Source organism: Homo sapiens, chromosome 15 (assembly GCF_000001405.40).
Source record: "Homo sapiens chromosome 15, GRCh38.p14 Primary Assembly".
NCBI classification, from domain to species: Eukaryota; Metazoa; Chordata; class Mammalia; order Primates; family Hominidae; genus Homo; species Homo sapiens.
The window spans coordinates 83,739,587-83,759,483 of NC_000015.10; the positions used below are offsets into that span (position 1 = coordinate 83,739,587).

Consider the following 19,897-nt stretch of genomic DNA (forward strand, 5'->3'; position numbering starts at 1 on the left):
TCAAAATCCAAAAAAAAATCTGAAATCCAAAATAGTTCTGGTCCCAAGCATTCTGGATAAGGGATACTCAACCTGTACTATTAAAAAATAGTCATGGATTGCGTCTCCCCTGCACTTCTTGGTAGTCTGTTAGTGGGAGATCCTTGTCACCAGCCCTTCACCTCCTCCAGTGCCAAGGAGCCCTAGAAGTCCCCATCATGCATGAGTACATCTCCATCCACATTTGCTGGGCTGGTGTCCAGATTGGCAATGCCTGCTGGGAGTTCTACTGCCTGGAACACAGCATCCTGCCTGACGACCAGATGCCAGTGACAAGACCAGTGGGAGAGAAGACGCATCCTTCAACACCTTCTTCAGTGAGATGGGTACTGGCAAGCATGTGACCAGGGCAGTGTTTGTAGACCTGGAACCCATGGCTGTTGACAGAGTTCACACTGACACCTATTGTCAGCTCTTGAACCCTGAGCATTGCATCACAGGTAAGGAATACCTATGCCAGTAACTGTGCCGGTGGCCACTTACACCATTGGCAAGGAGATCATTGACCTCGTCTTGGACTAAATTTGCAAGCTGGCTGACCAGTGCACAGGGCTTTAGGGTTTCTTGATTTTCCACAGATAATACATGCTCATTTTAGACACTCATGGAACACTTACAAATATTGATTGGGTATTAGTACACAAAAAACTCAGTAAATCTCAAAAAGCAGAAATCATATGGTTTATTTTCTCCAACCTTAGTGCAATAAAATTATACATTTACCACCAAAAAGTACTCAAATCACACCAAATCTATCCATTTGGAATTTAAAAATACCTTTTTATGGGTTGATGAAGAATCCAAATTAAAATTACTAATTATTTGGAAATGAAAGATGTAAGAGAACTGCATATCAAAACTCATTGGATTTTGCTAAAGCAGTATTAAGAGAAAACTTTATGACCTTAAAGACAGGGAAAATTGAAAATAAAAATAACCACATTCAACTAAAAAGTATAAAAGACAGCAAAATAACACAAACGGACATAAAGATAAGAATAAAAAAGATGCAATAGAGTAACGGCCACAAAACCACAGTATACCTCATCAGTATAGCAAAAAGCTCTTCCTTTGAGAAGACCAATACAGTATAACATCTTTTGACAAGTCTGACACAAATAATAAAAAGACACAAATAAATATCAGACAAATTCTATAGATTCACATGATATAGAAAGGATTATAAATTATGAGCAGTTACTTTGTATGAATTTATAACAATTGAATATTTAGATAGAATGAATACTTTAAAATCCAAATTCCTAAAAAATACAGAAAAACTGGGTAAACCAATATATGTAGAAAAAATTGAAAAGGCAGCCAGCTGTTTATTCCTTAGAAAGACACCAGGCCAACATATTTTTCTATGTGAATTGTAACAAGCATTCAAGAGGACATGTATTTCCTATGTAATATTAGCTTTTCTGGAATGTAGAAAGAGATAGAAAGCTTTCCAGAAGACTGGTATAATACAGATACTGAAACATCAAAGATAGCACAGAAAAATAAAATTATACTCCAATCTCATGGACCAAATACTAAAACTCTAAATATATATTAATAGATAGCAATTAGTTAATATTATATTAATTATAATACACTAAATATTATATTAATAAATATTAATAGATGGAATCCCACAGGGTGTTTTTTCTTTTTAGGTTACTGCATCTTCACCAAGTGTGGTTTTTTCCTAGGAATGAAAGGATGGTTTAAACTTCAGTCATTAACATTAAAAAGTCAGTCATTAACAGATTGTGGAATTATCTCAACAGCTGTCATGAAGGCACGTGATGAAATTCAACATAGAACACTACTAAATTTTTTTAATGCTTGAGGACTATAAGGAAAAAGTTTCCTAATGAATATCATCCACTAGCACCATACTTAGTATTGAAACATTTCATTGAAATGAGGAAAGACATGTGAAATTATAAGAAATAAGTGGTATTAAGACTGTAAAGGAGGATACAAAACTGTAATTATTTGAAGAAATTATAATCAATCTAAACATTTAAGAAAACCAACTCAAAAACCATTGGAACTATAAGGTGAGATCAGCAAGGTGGATATAGATCAGAATATATTTGGCTGGGTATGGTGGCTCATCCCTGTAATCCCAGCACTTTGGGAGGCTGAAGCGAGAGGATCACTTCCATCTAGGAGTTTGAGACCAGCATAGGCAACATAGCTAGACCCCTTATCTACAAACAAAATCAAAAATTAGCTAGACTACTTGGGAGGCTGACGTGGGAGGATCGCTTGAGTTTGAGGCTGCAGTGAGCCATGATCATGCCACTGCATTCAGCTTGGATGACAGGGTGAGACCCTGTCTCAAAATATGTATATATTCAATAGAGTTACTATAATAAATGTATATCGAACCTTCTGCTTTCTAAGTAGAAAATATGTCTTCTTTTAAAAAACCCTTGGGAAAGTTCGAAAAAAATTACTATATATTAATTCACAAGGAAAAGTCAGTAAATTTCTCATATAAGAGATATATACAATTTTATCTTAATGCAAAAATTAGAAATATGTAACCAAAGTAGCAATTAAATAAATCTAGCCACTTGTAAATTGAAATAAACCTCTCTCCTAAGCCAGCAGTATTGAATCAAAGGAAAAATAAAATGTGTGATTCTAAGTTATTCAGAAAACCATGAAAATGAAAAATTTTCAAACAGCCTTATGTTAACCTTAGGCTTACAGCCTAAGCTTTAATTAGAGAAAACTTCCTATTAAAGAATGAATAGAAATAAACTAAACTTCCAACTTATGACAGTAGAAAAACAAAATATACCTAAAGGAATTCAGAAGAAAAAAATTAATATAAACAAAAGCAGAAATTCAGTTAATTAGAAGAGTTAAAGCTTTCAAAAGGCTAAATTTAAACCTAGTCATTTGGGAACAACAGTAACAAAATGGATAGACTTCTAATTAGTTCTACCAAGAAAGAAATGAGGAAATACAGGTTCACAAAATTAGGAATAACCAAGTGGAATAAAAGATAAAAATAATAAAGTAATTTTTGGACAGCATGATTTTGTAGTTTGTAATCATTTGTGCTTTTCTTGTCTGGAAGCTAGTAAGATTAGTTCTAAATCTTTCTGTTTCAGAAATTTTGACTGGCTGTGTTTATGGGAGAGTTCCTTTCCAATGATTTTGCCTAAAATGGGGTCACCTTCTTCGGTCTGTGTTTGTAGATCTGACTTCAGCTTGGAAAAGTTTCTCACTATTACAATTGGAAACACTGTCTATATATTATAATGAAAACTGTTCTTTGATCTCCACATCTGTTATTTTCTCTCTCATTGTTTTAATTTCATTATACTTTCCATCAGCATTTGCAGAGAAGCTTTAATATTTGCCTGTTTCTGTGTGATTCAGATTTTTGAATTTTCTGTTCTGTTATTGCTTATATCTAGTACTTACATTCCTGTGTTATTGTAACTGCGCTTACCTCCTAACTTTACTACACTAGCTCCCTCTTAGCAAGAGTCTGTGACCTCATCATCCCATTTTTATCCCTTCTATCATTCTGTCCATTTGCCTTGCATTTAAAAGAGCAAAATCAGGAACCTGTCTAACATTTACTTTTTCTGATTTGAATAAATGCTTTAAAAAGTGTGCTTTCCAGCACTTTGGGAGGCCGAGGCGGGTGGATCATGAGGTCAGGAGATCGAGACCATCCTGGCTAACAAGGTGAAACCCCGTCTCTACTAAAAATACAAAAAATTAGCCGGGCGCGGTGGCGGGCGCCTGTAGTCCCAGCTACTCGGGAGGCTGAGGCAGGAGAATGGCGTGAACCCGGGAAGCGGAGCTTGCAGTGAGCCGAGATTGCGCCACTGCAGTCCGCAGTCCGGCCTGGGAGACAGAGCGAGACTCCGTCTCAAAAAAAAAAAAAAAAAAAAAAAGTGTGCTTTCCCTTGCCTTTTGAGGAGTATACCATTTTGTTTTCCCTGCACAAAAGCATCAAGGTTTGTTACAAGTTTGACATTTTTGACTGTCTGATTTCTCTGTCAGCCGTGGCTGGGGAGGGGAGGCAAGTAGCCACAGGGTAGAAGAGTAACCAGAGTCTAACACTGTGCCCGAAGATATGAGAATAGACAGCAGTTGTATGAGGAGATTGGATGAAGATATTTAAAGGGCTGTATTTCAATCTAGTGTAATAATGGATGTTTATACCAATAATGGAGTCAACAAGAAAAGATTTCCTTAACTCATATATCTTTTTAATTTTTTTTTTTGATATGGCGTCTGTTGCCCAGGCGGAGTGCAGTGGTGTGATCTCGGTTCACTGCAAGCTCTGCCTCTCAGGTTCACACCATTCTCCTGCCTCAGCCTCCTGAGTAGCTGGGACTACAGGTGCGTGCCACCACTCCCGGCTAATTTTTTGTATTTTTAGTAGAGACGGGGTTTCACCGTGCTAGCCAGGCTGGTCTCGATCTCCTGACCTCGTGATCTGCCTGCCTCGGCCTCTCAAAGTGCTGGGATTATAGGCGTGAGCCACTGCGCCCGGCCATATCTTTTTTATTTTAAAAAAAGGCAAATTTTCTTCATGTGGGAAGTTCATTTATATAGCATACTTAATTCTAATAGTTCCAGAAAAAGCAGGGCTTTGCTATATAGAGGAAGATAAAACCACACACGTGACTTAATATTTGCCAAAGACACCAAAAAATATTTTTTTCTAATTTACATACTTCAGATTCCATGATTTTCTCATTCTCACTCTGTGTAAAGTAGAATTTTCTATCTCCATTAGCTAAAATGAGCAAGAATTGCCATATGGACACTCAAGTACATGTTGTCTCTGAGCATTAATTTTCTTTTAAAAAATTAATTAATTTTAATTGGCAAAAATTGTATATATTCATGATGTACAACATGATGTTTTGAAATATGCATACATTGTGGACTGGCAAAGCTAATTAACATGTATTACTTCACATACTTATCATTGTTTTTATGGTGGGAACACTTAAAATCTCTTATCAATTTTCAAGAATCCAATACATCATTATTAAGTATAGTCACCTGTGTTGTACCGTAGAGCTCTTGAATTTATTTTACCTATCTAACTTAAATTTTGTATCCTTTGGCCAAATCTCCCTACTACCCTCCCCACAAATGAGCATTAATTTTCAGTCAGTGGTTTGTCAGCAGGACTGTCGTGTTTGGGGTGTCTTACATATGCCTTCCTAGAGAAGCCATTTGTGTAATGTCAAAAGAGTGTGTTTGTTTATTATATCGATGGGGACAGGAAGCAGGGAAACTCTGGGCATAAGAGGGCGGGTCCCTGGCAAAGGCCCCACCCTCAAGCCTGGAACCCCAGCCCAAAGTGAGAACATGCATTCCTGTTTTCCTCCTCGAATGTTTGCCTTTTCCAAAACCACCCATGGCCTGCCCTGCCCCACATCCTGGACCCCTAAAAACCCCAGGCTCAGCTGGCAGAGAGCAGAGAAGAGGAGAAGCAACTGGACATCAGAGAGAAGCGGCTTGACTTCGGCTGGGCGGCTTGACAACGTTGCTTCAGAGAGGAGTCCACATGGGGAGTATCACCTTCCTGGTCCATCCCCTTTCCAGCTCCCTTTCCTGATGAGAGACACTTTCGTCGGCAATAAAATCCTCCACTCTTCAATTCATTCATGCAACCTGATTTTTCCTGGACGCTGGACAAGAGCTTGGGTGCCATTTGTGTGGATGCTAAAGGCTGTCATGCTGACCCTCTGTCCTCATTAGCGGAGAGCAACCACCTCACATGAAAAGGCAGAGAGCCCACTGAGTGGCATAACACTTAAGCTGGCAAAGCTAAAAGAGCACTGACTGTAACAGTCCTTCTGGGGCTTCAGGGGTCATAGGTACTTCCTCCTAGACACTGCTGTGGAGTCTGAATGGAGTTTTGCTCCTGCCAGCACCCAAAAGCACTTGCCCCGGCTCCTGCACCTGCTCACCTGTGTGCTTCCTTCCATGAGGGGTTGAGTGCAATAGGTTCCAGAGAGTGCAGTCCACCCCTGCCAGCACCCAAGCGACTGGCTAGTTCTAGCACCCATGCACTCCAGTTCCCAGTCGAGAAGGGGGTCAAGGAAACATTTTCTGTTTCAAGATGAAGCTATCTACATTAATTCAATGAAGTGAAAAGTACATAGAGTGACACTTGGTTTATCTGGTGCCATTGGGCAAAATGTGTTATGAATAAATGCAATCTCATAAGTGCCTGTTGTCATGGAAAGAGGCTGTCTTTGGAACCAGACAAAGCTGTGTCAGGTACATTATCAAATGACTTTCACATAATCTCTTCTTTAATTCCACAACAACCCTCTATCAGTTATTAGTGTTGTCAGCTGCAGGGAACATAATGCCATGCCAAAGGCTGTTCTAACAAATAGGCCTGGGACAGTGGCTCAGTGATGCTCTCAAAATCCAGGCTCCTTTCCCTCTGTTCTTTGTACTCAGTGGGTTGGCCGTTCCTCTTATGGTTGCAAAATGGCACTGCAGCTTCAAGCACCACATTGAATTCCAAGGAAGAAAGGAGAGAAGAGGTATAGAATTGCCTATGTCCCTTTGTCTTATTAATCAAGAATGTGATGTTTGCCCAGAAGCACCGACAGAAAATGACCAGTTTTCCCATCCTCCCTTGCAGTCTGAGTGGCCATGTGAACCAGTTCTGGTCAATGACACGTAACTGGTTCACATGGCCACTCAGAGTGCAAGGGAGGCTGGGAAAGTGTGAACACTATAGTCTTGTTGACTTATGATTCACCACCTGGGGTTCTGTTAGCAAAAAAGAAAGGAGGGTGTGGATATTGGGTGTTAACTATCAGTGTCTGTCACAAATCCTCTGTTTGCTTTACCCATGAAAATGTTCGTATTTAAATACATAACTGGATCAAAATCACCAGCTCTTGAATGACAGAGTTAATACATCAACTGCGGTCTATTGCTCATGTTCCTGTTTGCAGTTAACTGGGAACCTTTTGGGTAATGTGAATGATATTTACAATGATAGTTACATGATGAAGCTAGTCTCTTGTGAAAACAGTATACTTCGGGTTGGAAGTAGTTTCTGATTTTTTAAAAAGTGAAGTCAGCCAGGCATTGTGGCTCACACCTGTAATCCCAGTGCTTTAGGAGGCTGAAGTGAGAGGATTGCTTGAGCCCAGGAGTTGAGGCTGCAGTGAGCCATGATTGTACCACTGCACTCCAGCCTGAGTGACAAAGTGTGACCTTGCCTCTTAAAAAAAATGAAATTTTCTTACTTATTAAACTGATGGAATAAATACTTTTCAGTTTGTACTAATGTAAGGCAATAATGTAATATATGGCAATAATATAAGGCAAAGCTTTGCTATGGATTTTCTATGGGGAGTGCGAATAAAAGGATTAGAACTTAGAACTTTCATATACTTTACCTCTGTGTGGACATCGAGAAAAATGCCAAGACTAATAGAAGTGATGGGTTAGATGGGGTTTAAGAGAAGGCTGCCCAGATGATATGGTGTTAGGTGTCACTTGGAAGTTAGGTTAGATAAGGAAGTGTTGGGCTGCCCTCTTGCTGCAAGTGTCTGAAATCCTAGTTAGCTGAGAGCCAGTTCTGGCCATTTCTGAGGTTTGCTGCCTCCCTAATCCCACACTTGCATCCTGTTCCTGTTTTGCTTTCCTCTGCTGCTCGTCTTTCACTTTCTCTTTCCTCACTTGGGAAGAGTGTTGAAACAACATTTCATTATTTGGCACTGCAAGGCAGTAGTAGTGTCCCCACTTTGGTCAGTTTCTGCTCTGGCAGGAGAAATGGTTTCAGTAAGTTTTTCCATTTCCTATTTGTTAGACTTCCTCTCAGGTACCCATCCAGATCTGTCCACAAGTGTGAGAGAAGGCTTGGACGCTGTTCCTCTCACCATTTCAGAGCAGTAGTGGAAGTGACCCTGTGCCCTGGCTGAAGGACATTCTCCAAGGTCAGCTTTTAAGTGTTCCCCTGGAGGACGAGAGGATTTATCTTTCCTTTTCAGACCATGTTCACATGTCATGAAATTCAAAATTTGGCCCTAACTGTTCATCATAGGTCCTTGTTTACTTTTTGTCTACTTCGTAAGAATGGCTGTGGTGCAGTTTTGTTTTAATTAAGACAAACCGATGTCTCCCAAACATCCATTGCTCTCTGTGAGAAAGAAACAAAAGGAACAGTTTTGCTTGGCTGTTTAAGGATGGAGAAGCGGATCTTATTTCAGAACATGGGTCATCCTAGATGGACGAGGGCAGCTCAGGGTGGAGCAGCCATGAGATCTGGCAGGTCCAGACTCCCTGGCACCAGAATGGCAGCTCTCAGCAAGTGTCTGCTTGGCGTCTCCTGGAGTCTTGTTGGCATGGAAGAGAGACCTTGTACAACATTCCTCATATGTCATTCCCCTTAAAGAAAACATTTCTTCTCCTTTCTGTCTTCACCTCCAATCCCATGTTTGAGAATACAAATCAAACTTATTCTCGTTCATTCTAAAGGGAGTAGCACATCAAAAGTACACTGCTCCTTTCTTCAGTGCCTCTTACAAGGAGCCTGTGGGGATAGCAGCACTCTGCCCTTAGGGAACTATAGTCTAGCAGGGAAAGAAGAATGACATATTAGTTGAAGTGGATCGTCAGTTCAAGATTGGTTACATCTTCATTATCAAGATTGTCATCCTTCATTGATCACTCACTGTGTAGCAATGTCATGATGCTAGTTCTTAGGGATACAGAGTAGGCAGGCTGGGCATGGTGGCTCATGCCTGTAATCCCTATACTCTGGGAGGCCAAGGTGGGAGGATTCCTTGAGCTCAGGAGTTTGAGACTAGCCTGGGCAACATGGCGAAACCCTGTCTTTACAAAAAAATACACAAAAAGTAGCCAGGCATGGTGGTATGCACTTGTAGTCCCAGCCAGTTGGAGGCTGAAGTGGGAGAATCACTTTACTCTGGGTGGTCAGGGCTGCAATGAACTGAGATTGTGCCAATGCACAACAGCCTGGGTGACAGAGCAAGACCCTGTCTCAAAAAAAAAAAAAAAAAAAAAAATACCACACACACAAAGAAGCAAGGAAGGAAAGAAAAGAAAGAAGAAAGAAACACAGCATGCATTTGTGACTTCACATACCTAAGAAGGAATTATTGGTATGAGGTGGTTCATATTAATGTAAAATAAGTGAACTGATCTATATTTGCTACAGGACTTGTAAAGAGGAGTGGCCTGGGGAGTAGACCTTGAAAGACAGTGGGAGCCGGTATTTGGGGGCTGGGAGTGTTGCATGCTGGGTTTTCCAGGGAGCAGACCCTGAGAGGAGTTTAACATGCAAGATGGTTACTTGGGAGTTTCTTGGGATTGACACTCATGGAAGGAAGAGAATGAAGCAGGATGAGCAGTGGGAGGTGTCAAACTGAAATGCAGCCCCAAAGAAAGCCTTGGCACAGCCCACAAGAAACTCTGGAACAAGAATAGCATTTAGAGTTGTCCTAAGTTGGACTGAGCTGTCCTAAGTTAGACCCCTGCTTTGCTGAGTCACTGAATGTGTCCACAGGTGTGAGAGAAGGGCTGGATGCTGTGCCTCTCTCACAGTTGCAGGGCAGTAGTGGAAATGACTCTGGCTGAAGGACATTCTCCAAGGTTAGCTTTTAATTTTCCCCTGGCCAGGGATGTGACCCTCAGAGAGATGCCTTCCTGCAACTAAGTCAACCACCGAAAAGACTGATGGCTAAAGGCTGTTTGATAGTACACTCTTGCAGCTAAGGCAACGAGAGCTTTATTGATGGGGATTCTGGGCAGCTGTCAACATGTCACCATAGGAAGAATGGCATAAGCAAATGCATGCAGAACAGTTCTGATGAGCTGTGATGGACAGAACAATTGGACTGCAGTGGCTGTTACATTTGGAAGTGCAGTAGGAGGTGATGTTAGAGTGTTAGTAGGACGCAGGTGGAAGGTTCTAACTGCCCAGCTAAGGACTCTGAACTTTGTCCTGTGGACATTAAGAAAACACTAGATGGTCTGAGCAGTGGGGAGGTGTTACTAAGGTGTGAAATTGTGTTTTAAAGGGATACATCTGGCCTAGATGTAGAGGATGAATAGTAGTGGCAGGAGGTCCAAGGCAGGAAGATGGCCATAGACTAGTAATTCATGAAAGCGAATAGGGTGGGTCTCGAAAAGAGTCCTGGGTTGCAAGGTGAAATAACTGAGTTCTCATTCAAGCTCTTTGTCATTGACTTGACTGTGTAGGTCTTCCTCTTGGACCTCAATTTTGCCATCTGTAAAAATGATAAGCTCAGAAGTCCCTTTCCAGATGTAACACTTTGTGGTTCTACCTTAAAGTGATCTGTTCGTTTGTGTTCCTTCAACTGCGTGCTCATTGAAAGATGTTGAAGACTAGTGTAGTGTGAAACCAGACTTCTGGAAACTTTATTTTGGATATTTGTTTATTAACTGATTCCTCCACTCTATGGCCTTGCAAATCTTTGTATTTACACACAAAATTTGAAGCCAATGAATTATGGATTCAAGCTGAACCAGAGTCACGTATCAGCTATTACAAGCCTAAGGGTTTTGTTTCTTAATCAATTACAGTATATCTGGTAACTCAACACAGCTACCTGGAATACAGAATTAGCTTTCCGTATTGCACAGGGATGGATTGTCTTCACCTAAGTTTCTACTTAAATAATAATGAAAACGGGATTAACCCTGGCAGTAAAGAAATGAACCAGTTTGAGCCCATACTTGTTGAGGACTTAAGTAAATTATATTTCTTTTTCCCTTGTAAGTTTTGCATCATAGCTTGGTGTCATGCCCATAATCAGCAGATAATTTAGGGAAAAACAAAAGATAACAAATGACAAAGATAAATTCACTGATCAGAACTCTGGTCCCCTTCTTTTTCAAAATGGTTCACAGACAGATTTTTGCATGGGGGAGACTTTTTTTTGAGACAGAGTGTTGCTCTGTCGCCAGGCTAGAATGCAGTGGCATGATCTCGGCTCACTGCAACCTCCGCCTCCTGGGTTCAAGTGATTCTCCTGCCTCAGCCTCCCGAATAGCTGGGACTACAGGCACGTGCCACCACACCCAGCTAATTTTTGTATTTTTAGTAGAGACGGGGTTTCACCATGTTGGCTAGGATGGTCTCGATCTCTTGACCTCGTGATCTGCCTGCTTCAGCCTCCCAAAGTGCTGGGATTACAGGCATGAGCCACTGCGCCCGGCTGGGGGAGACATTTTAATTCGTTGATTCATTGACTCAAAACATGACTTTTCCTTCATTTATTACTGAAAGTATTAACTCTATGCATTTGTTCGTCCATTAACTAAATTATTAATTCATGCATTAATTTAGTATATATTATTAAGTCCCTCTTGTATGTCAGGTACAATGCTAATTGCCAGAGACACACTGGTAGGTAAAACAAGATCAAATCCCAAATTTTATGGAGCTTGTAGTCTAGTTCGAGATGGACATTAATCCATTAGTCACATGGTTTGTTCTGTAATTACAGACTGAAGTCAGGTAAGGCTTCTTTGAGGAAAATTGAGCTGAAATTTGAAGAATGAAAACTCAGTGGACTAAGTTAACAATGTGAGGATGAATTGTAGCTTTGAGTCAATGATGAATATAATTTCAACGTTATTAAAATTTTGGCATTTTATATTATTATGGACAAAAAGAAAAACCAATATACTGACTTAACCAAGTGTTGGAGGTCATTTTCTAGGTTAGAAGCAGAGCCCAAATTAATAGTGACCTGGAAATTAAGTCTCAAATGATAGGGGGATGGACATAATTCTTCCTAGAGCCTTGTTGGCTGCTCTGGGTCAATAATATTTGGAAGCTTGTGGTCCAAGTAAGTCAAGCGTAAGAGGTGCAACACCAAATATAAATCTGTGGGTGTTGGTGCTTTTTTTCTGATGTAAATTTTTTCCAGTGTGTTTGTGTCCTTTCCAAGAAGGTGGGCAGCTGTGCCAGGAAATTCGATGTATATGGTATGGAGATGTGGTGACTGGAATGAACAGAAAACTGTATATAGAAGCCTTAACCCTTTGATGCAGCATCTTTAATAAATGCAGAGGAGATACTGCAGAGGTGACATCCTCTTTATGGAGTTACTTTCATCTTGATTCACTACTTGCTCCTCATTCATCCCCTAACCCCAGGTGTGAAAAAATTTCCCACAGTGTTCAAGTGAGGAGTAAAAAGTTTTCCACCCAACGAGAATCCACCAACAATAGTTTGGGGGCAAATACCAGCCTAGAATAGATTGCTGTTTGACAAGGAGTAAAAATCATCAATAGTAGCGTGAGAAATGTGAAAAGATTCTGCATCATAACAACAACCTATGCCCTAAAGAGGTAAAGAGAGAATTTACAGAATGCAATTTATTATGAGAAACAATACATTTTAAATACCATTTGCTTTGGCTACTGATGCAATTGAAGAAAATATTAAGTGTTATGAAAACAACAAAATGAAAAGAGAATGAAGAGCAAAATTGGCTTTGTGGAAAATCAAATCAGTGGTATAGAAGACAAAAGTGCTAAAAAGAGAAGATGCTCTGTTTGGTTTATATTCCTTCTTCTGTTATTTTTAGTTTATTCCTTTATCGTTTTCACATTTTTTGGTATAGCCTTAGCATTTTCTTTACTTTTGATACTTTGCTGTAATAGACCAAAATTGCTTAAATTTATTCTCTATGGTGATTTTGAAAGTTTGAATTCTATTTAAAAAAATCCCATACTGGATATTACTAAAATTTATAAAATATATGATTAAATCTAATAAATGATTAATTTAATGTGTAGTTCTATTTTACATCCATATGTGAAGTGAATGTTCATGTATGCTTATGCATACACACACACACACATACATACACGCACAAATTTTCTTTCCCAAGAAAGTCTTTGGCTTTACTTTCAACTTTGTGACCTTATTTCCAAATTACTTATATCTTTCTAATGTCTATTATAACTTTCTGTAATTATGGAAATTTCCTATATTTGCAATATCTAATATAGTAGCCAGTAGTCACATGTGCATAACAAGTGCTTGAAATGTGGCTAGTGTAAATTTAAGGTCATGTTAAGAAAACAGATAACAATATAACTTAGATGACACAGCTCTGTAGAAGTTACTATATTTCTTTGATAACTCTATTTACAACCCACTGAAGTTTACACAAACATTTCTTCTCTTTTCCTCTGCCAAAATTATAGAGACCGTTTGCTCATATGCTCGCCTTTAGGTTTGTTCAACTCTCTCATCCATCAAGATTCAGCTCAATTGACACCTTCCCTGAGAATTATGCCCTGACTTCACAGGCTGAGGAGTCATTGTCCTTCCTTGTTCTTTCAGTGTGTATTGCCTGCTTGCAATCATGAGTTTTCGTTTATCTTCCAGTGAGATTAACCTTTTTGAGGGCAGCTACTAAATGGGGCTTGGTGAATGCTGTTGAGTCAGTAAGTGACTTCTAACTTTGCTTGACCTGCAAAACCCTGGCTACCTTTCTGAAGACTTGATGGTCTGAATGGTTAGGGTTCTGAACCATGCAGCAGTCATCTACATGAGGCCATTATTAACCTAACCAGGGACACTCACCTACCATTTTTAGTCAAGGAATTGGGATTTTGCTCTCAGCTTTTCAATTTTTTTGTGCTACTGATCTCAGGTGTGCAGAATTCTCTGTCCCAGTTTTCTCTTTTCACCTAGGGCAGCACAACCCCTGCAGGTGGTCCAGAGCATGCAGACCACCAACCAATCCCAGAAGGAGAGGTATGAGATAGAAACAATGCACTGGCTTCTTTCATTACTTACTTTGGTAGCTGTCAAATAATATTTCTTGTGGGAGTTTATTTAAAGCCTGTGCCCCTAAAATGTGGTCTGGGTAATATTCTTGATGAGTCGTTGGCACAACCCTGTGTTTTTCTATGTGAAATGGCTAACCATGGATGGAAGTAAATCACTAAGAAAAGTCGAAAAAGAATTTTTTTGAAAACTTGATATCATTAAACTTGAAAAACTGTGCTTTTTTTTTTTCTTGGAAAGAGAAGCCTACTGTAGATTGTCAAATATAAATGCTTTGATTATGGTTTGGGGTATGTTGAAATTAAGAGCTTTCTATGGTTATCTTGTGGTTGTAAATGGAGAGCAAGAAAATATATAAAGTGATCTATAGGAACCTGCTTGGAAGGGATGAAAAACATTACATCCATGTAGAGTACTATTTTGCTCTAATGTGATAAACGAAAGTGAAGCAGTTTGCGTTGTTATAACTTTATCTGAAGGTTGAAGATTTTAATAACATGTGGTTGTCATAATGATTTAGAAAGGATTTTTATCTTCATAAGTCATCATGAGAGTAAAGAGGTTTGGTTGTGTGGACACACATCCTCTAGAAAGAACAGGTTTCTCCACCTCACCACTGTTGACATTTTAGGTCAGATAATTCTTTGTGGTGGGGACTGTCCTGGGCACTGTATGTCAGGCCTCCACCCATTAATGCCAGTAGCACCTCCCTCTCCTCAGTTGCAACAACCATAAATGTCTCCAGGCATCTCAAAATGTTCCCTGGGGGGCAAAACTGTGTGACAGAAAAGCACCATTCTAGAATGTTTGTTGAAATATGTGAGGCTGGAAGTTAATAATCTGTAGCATCTGACTGCAGGCCTTGTTCGATCTGCCTTGGGATGTCCTGAGGCAGTTTCCATAAATATTGCTCGCAGGAATGCCAGCCACCAAGACAGGCTTCTTGGCAAGCGTTCACCGGAGAGAGCTGAATTTGGGCCTTAGGTTTTGAAGGCACAGTGAGATGACTTCTTTACACCCAGGTTGGATTGATTTATTTGTCAGAATAATTAACATTTTAAAAATGTTAGATGTTGTTTTAAAAATCCAGCAGTTTGGAAGAGGTACAAAGAAAACTACAAAGCACCCTACATCCTACTTTCTAGAAATAACTAGTGTTCATATGTGGTAAATAGCATTCTAAGCATTTTCATACACATACACAAACAGGGTTTTGGATAAGGTAAATACATAGACATAGGGCTATAGAAATGCCATTACATGATGCATGCCATTTTAAATTAAAAATATTTAATTTTATGTGAATTTAATAGATGATAAGGAAATGAAATAAAACTGAAGGATTTGCTAAATTGAGATGAATGTTTGATCACAGCAGAATAAATTATTTCCTTAAAGATACCTCTAAGTGTATCACAAAAGGTGAGGAGATTGGCGTTACTATGTTTTAAAATTTCATATTTAAATTTTAGTCAATGGTACTTAATTTCCCTACAACTTTCTTCCATTCACCTTCCAGATTTATATTGGTTATGTTATTATATATGCTAATTTAATATCGTATATGTTCCACACCCTAATTTTCCTGTTATTTATTCAAAGTTTAATGTTTAAATGGATTAAATGCTCACCACCATTCCTTTTATATGACTTTTATAATCCTGTTGTAAAAATTTTGAATCATTTCCTAGCTGGTTGGATTTCATCATCAACTTTTGAAAGAAAGGCTGTATTTACTGAGTTTTTCCATTTTTTTTTAACATTTGAACACCTTGGTGTTGCCTGTACTCTTTTAAAAAATTATTGTGGTAAAATATATATTGTTTAACATTTACCATTGTAACCATTTTTAAGTGTACAGTTTAGTGGCATCATGTACATTCACATTGTTGTGCAACCATCACCACCATCCATCTTTAGAACTTTATTTCCTCTTGCAAAACTGAACCTACTGTACCCATTAAATAATAACCCCCTATTCTCTCCTCCCCCAGTCCCTGACAACCACCATTCTACTTTCTGTCTCTGTGAATTTGACTACCCTAGGCACTTCATAAGTGGAATCATACAATATTTATCCTTTTGTGTCTGGCTTATTTCACTTAGCATAATGTCTTTAAAGTTCATCCATGTTGTAGCCTGTGCCCGAATTTCATTCTTTTCTGAAGCTAAATAATATTCCACTGCATGTGTACACTATATTTTGCTTCTCTACTTATTTGTCAGTGGACATTTGGGTTGTCTTCTCCTTTAGGGTTTTATGAATACTGCTGTTATAACAGAGTGGTACAAACATTTGTTTGAGTCCCTGCTTTCAATTTTTTTTTTTTTTGAGACATTCTTACTCTGTCGCCCAGGCTGGAGTGCAGTGGCATGATCTCAGCTCACTACAACTTCCACCTTCCGCCTTCCAGGTTCAAGTGATTCTTGTGCCTCAGCCTCCTGAGTAGCTGGGACTACAGGCGCCTGCCACCACATCTGGCTAATTTTTGTATTTCTAGTGGAGACAGGGTTTTGCCATGTTGGCCAGGCTGCTCTCGAACTCCTGACCTGAGGTGATTCACCTGCCTTGGCCTCCCAAAGTGCTGGGATTACAGGCATGAGCCACTGCATCTGGCCCCCTGCTTTCAATACTTTTGGGTATATACACAGCAGTGGAATTGCTGGATCATATGATAATACATCAGACTTTTTGAGGAACTACCGTAATGTTTTCCACAGTGGCTGTACCATTTTACATTCCCACCAGCAATGAACACATGTTCTAATTTCTTCACATCCTCACTGTATTAGTCTGTTTTCACACTGCTGAAAAAGACATACCCAAAACTGGGTAATTTATAAAGGAAAGAGGTGTAATTGGCTCACAGTTCCACATGTCTGGGGAGGCCTCATACTCATGGCAGAAGACAAAGGAAGAGCAAAGGGACATCTTAATATGGTGGCTGGCAAAGAGATTATTTGTGCAGGGGTACTCCCTTTTATAAAACCATCAGATGTTGTGAGACTTATTCGCTATAATGAGAACAGCAAAAGAAAGACTCGCCCTCATGATTAAATTACCTCCACGGGGTCCCTCCAATGACAGATGGGAATTATGGGAGCTGCAATTTGAGATTTGGGTGGGGACACAGCCAAACCATATCATTTCACCCCTGCCCCCCCCCCAAATCTCATGTCCTAACATTTCAAAATCAATCGTGCCTTCCCAACAGTCCCCCAAGTCTTAACTCATTTCAGCATTAACTCAAAAGTCTACAGTCTAAAGTCTTATCTGAGACAAGGCAAGTCACTTCTGCCTATGAGCCTGTAAAATCAAAAGCAAGTTAGTTACTCTCAAGATACAATGGGGGAACAGGAATTGGGTAAATACACCATTCCAAATAGGAGGAATTGGCCCAAACAAAGGGGCTACAGGGCCCATACAAGTCTGAAATCCAGTGGGGCAGTCAAATCTTAAAGCTCCAAAATGATCTCCTTTGACTCCATCTCTCACATCCAGGTCACGCTGATGCAAGAGGTGGGCTCCCATGGCCTCGGGCAGCTCTGTCCCTGTGGCTTTGCAGGGTATAGCCCCTCTCCTGGCTGCTTTCACAGGCTGGTATTGAGTGTTTGCAGCTTTTCCAGGCACACGGTGCAGGCGGTCAGTGGATCTACCATTCTGGGGTCTGGAAGAAGGTGGCCCTCTTCTCACAGCTCTACTAGGCAGTGCCCCAGTGGTGACTCTGTGTGGGGCCCGCACCCCAAATTTCCCTTCTTCACTGCCCTAGCAGAGGTTCTCCATGAGGGCTTGCCCCTGCTGCAAACTTTTGCATGGACATCCAGGTATTTCCATACATCCTCTGAAATCTAGGTGGAGGTTCCCAAAGCTCAATTCTTGACTTCTCTGCACCCACAGGCTCAACACCACATGGTAGTTGCCAAGGCTTGGGGCTTTCACTCTCTGAAGCCATGGCCTGAGTTGTACCTTGGCCCCTTTTAGCTGAGTGGCTGAGTGGCTGAGTGGCTGAGATGCAGGGCACCAAGTCCCTAGGCTGCACACAGCAGGGGGGCCCTGGGCCCTGGCCCATGAAACCATTTGTTCCTCCTACGCCTCTGGGCCTGTGATGGGAGGTGCTGCTGCAAAGGTCTCTGACATGCCCTGAAGACATTTTCTCCATTGTCTTGGTGATTAACATTTGGCTCCTTGTTACTTATGCAAATTTCTGCAGCTGGCTTGAATTTTTCCTCAGAAAATGGGTTTTTCTTTTCTATCACATCTCAGGTTGCAAATTTTCTGAACTTTTATGCTCTGTTTTCATTTCATTATGAATGCTTTTAACAGCACCCAAGTAACCTCTTGAATGCTTTGCTGCTTAGAAATTTCTTCCACCAGATACCCTGAATCATCTCCCTCAAGTTCAAAGTTCCACATATCTCTAGGGCAGGTACAAAATGATGCCAGTCTCTTTGCTAAAGCATAGCAAAAGTCACTTTGCTCTAGTTCCCAACAAGTTCCTCATCTCTATCTGAGACCACATCAGCCTAGATTTCATTGTCCATATCATTATCGGCATTTTGGTCAAAGCCATTCAACAAGTCTCTAGGAAGTTCCAAACTTTCCTGTCTTCTTCTGAGCCCTCCAAACTGTTCCATCCTCTGCCCATTACCCAGTTCCAAAGTTGCATCCACATTTTCAGGTATCTTTACAGCAGCACCCCACTCTACCAGTACCAATTTACTGTATTAGTCCGTTTTCATGCTGCTGATAAAGACATACCTGAGACTGGGTAATTTATAAGTAAAAAAGGTTTAATTGACTCACAGTTCTACATGGCTGAGGAGGCCTTACAATCCTGGTGGAAGAGGAAGGAAGAGCAAAGGGACATCTTACATGGTGGCAGGCAAAGAGAGAATGTGTGCGGGGAAAATCCCCTTTATAAAACTGTCGGATGTTGTGAGACTTATTCACTGTCATGAGAACAGCCCAAGAAAGACCTGCCCTCATGATTAAATTACCTTCCACCAGTTCCCTCCCACAACACATGGGAATTATGGGAGCTACAATTCAAGATTTGGATGGGGACACAGCCAAACCATATCACTCACTAACAGTTAACTTTTTTCCTGTTTGTTTGTTTTATAATAGTCATCCTAATGGGTATGAAGTGGTATCTCCTTTACATTTCCCTAATGGGTATAAAGTGGTATTTCATTTGCATTTCCCTAATGATTAGTGATATTGAACACCTTTTCATCTGCTTATTGACCATTTATATATCTTCTTTGGATAAATATCTATTCATGTCTTTTGCCCAATTTTTAACTGGGCTATTTCTTTTTTTTGTTGCTGAATTGTAAGAATTCATTATATATTCTGGATATTAACCCCTTGTCAGATATATTATTTTCAAATATTTTTCCCATTCTGTGGATTACCTTTTCACTCTGTTAATAGTGTCCTCTTATGCACAAAGGTTTTAATATTGATGAGGTGCTTTTATTCTTGAATAGGGCTTAGGCAGTTGTAATATTCTTGGGTGATTTTTTTCTTGTGGGATTTTGTAGGCACTGCTTCCTTGTGTTCTGGCATTAGATGTTGCTGTGGAGAAGGCAGACCTTTCCCCTTGCAGGTCACTTGCTTTCACTGCTCGAACATCTCAGAAATTCTTCTGATCCACATCTTTCCTTTTTTTGTTTTAATTAGAAAAATAGAGAAATAGAAAAGTTAAGAGACTAGTATAATAAACTCATGTGTACCCATACCCAGAAGTAACTCATGTTAATACTTTATCATTTTTGAATGACATTTTTTTTTTTTTTGAGATGGAGTCTCGCTCTGTCGCCCAGGCTGGAGTGCAGTGACTCGACCTCCGCTCACTGCAAGCTCTGCTTCCCGGGTTCACGCCATTCTCCTGCCTCAGCCTCCCGAGTAGCTGGGACTACAGGTGCCCGCCACCATGCCCAGCTAATTTTTTGTATTTTTAGTAGAGACGGGGTTTCACCATGTTAGCCGGGATGGTCTTGATCTCCTGACCTCATGATCCGCCTGCCTTGGCCTCC

The 19,897-nt window shown here is 40.2% G+C and overlaps 1 protein-coding gene and 1 pseudogene across 12 annotated transcripts in view, besides 2 other annotated features; both read left to right on the forward strand.

Annotated features, from left to right (window-relative positions):
- The window catches only part of ADAMTSL3 (ADAMTS like 3), a 385,720-nt gene that overhangs the window by 85,464 nt on the left and 280,359 nt on the right, over nucleotides 1–19,897 (forward strand). The gene's annotated exons all lie outside the window — the stretch shown is intronic.
- Nucleotides 198–613, forward strand: TUBAP4 (tubulin alpha pseudogene 4; annotated as a pseudogene).
- Nucleotides 5,311–5,480: an enhancer, noted in NCBI's record as "experimental_41616 CRE fragment used in MPRA reporter constructs". NCBI's record gives its function as "activates a minimal promoter by MPRAs in K562 erythroleukemia cells, with activity observed for both the introgressed and non-introgressed 15:84413734 variant alleles {active_cell/tissue: K562}" and the evidence as "EXISTENCE:reporter gene assay evidence [ECO:0000049][PMID:34662402]".
- Nucleotides 18,471–18,640: an enhancer, noted in NCBI's record as "experimental_41626 CRE fragment used in MPRA reporter constructs". NCBI's record gives its function as "activates a minimal promoter by MPRAs in K562 erythroleukemia cells, with activity observed for both the introgressed and non-introgressed 15:84426894 variant alleles {active_cell/tissue: K562}" and the evidence as "EXISTENCE:reporter gene assay evidence [ECO:0000049][PMID:34662402]".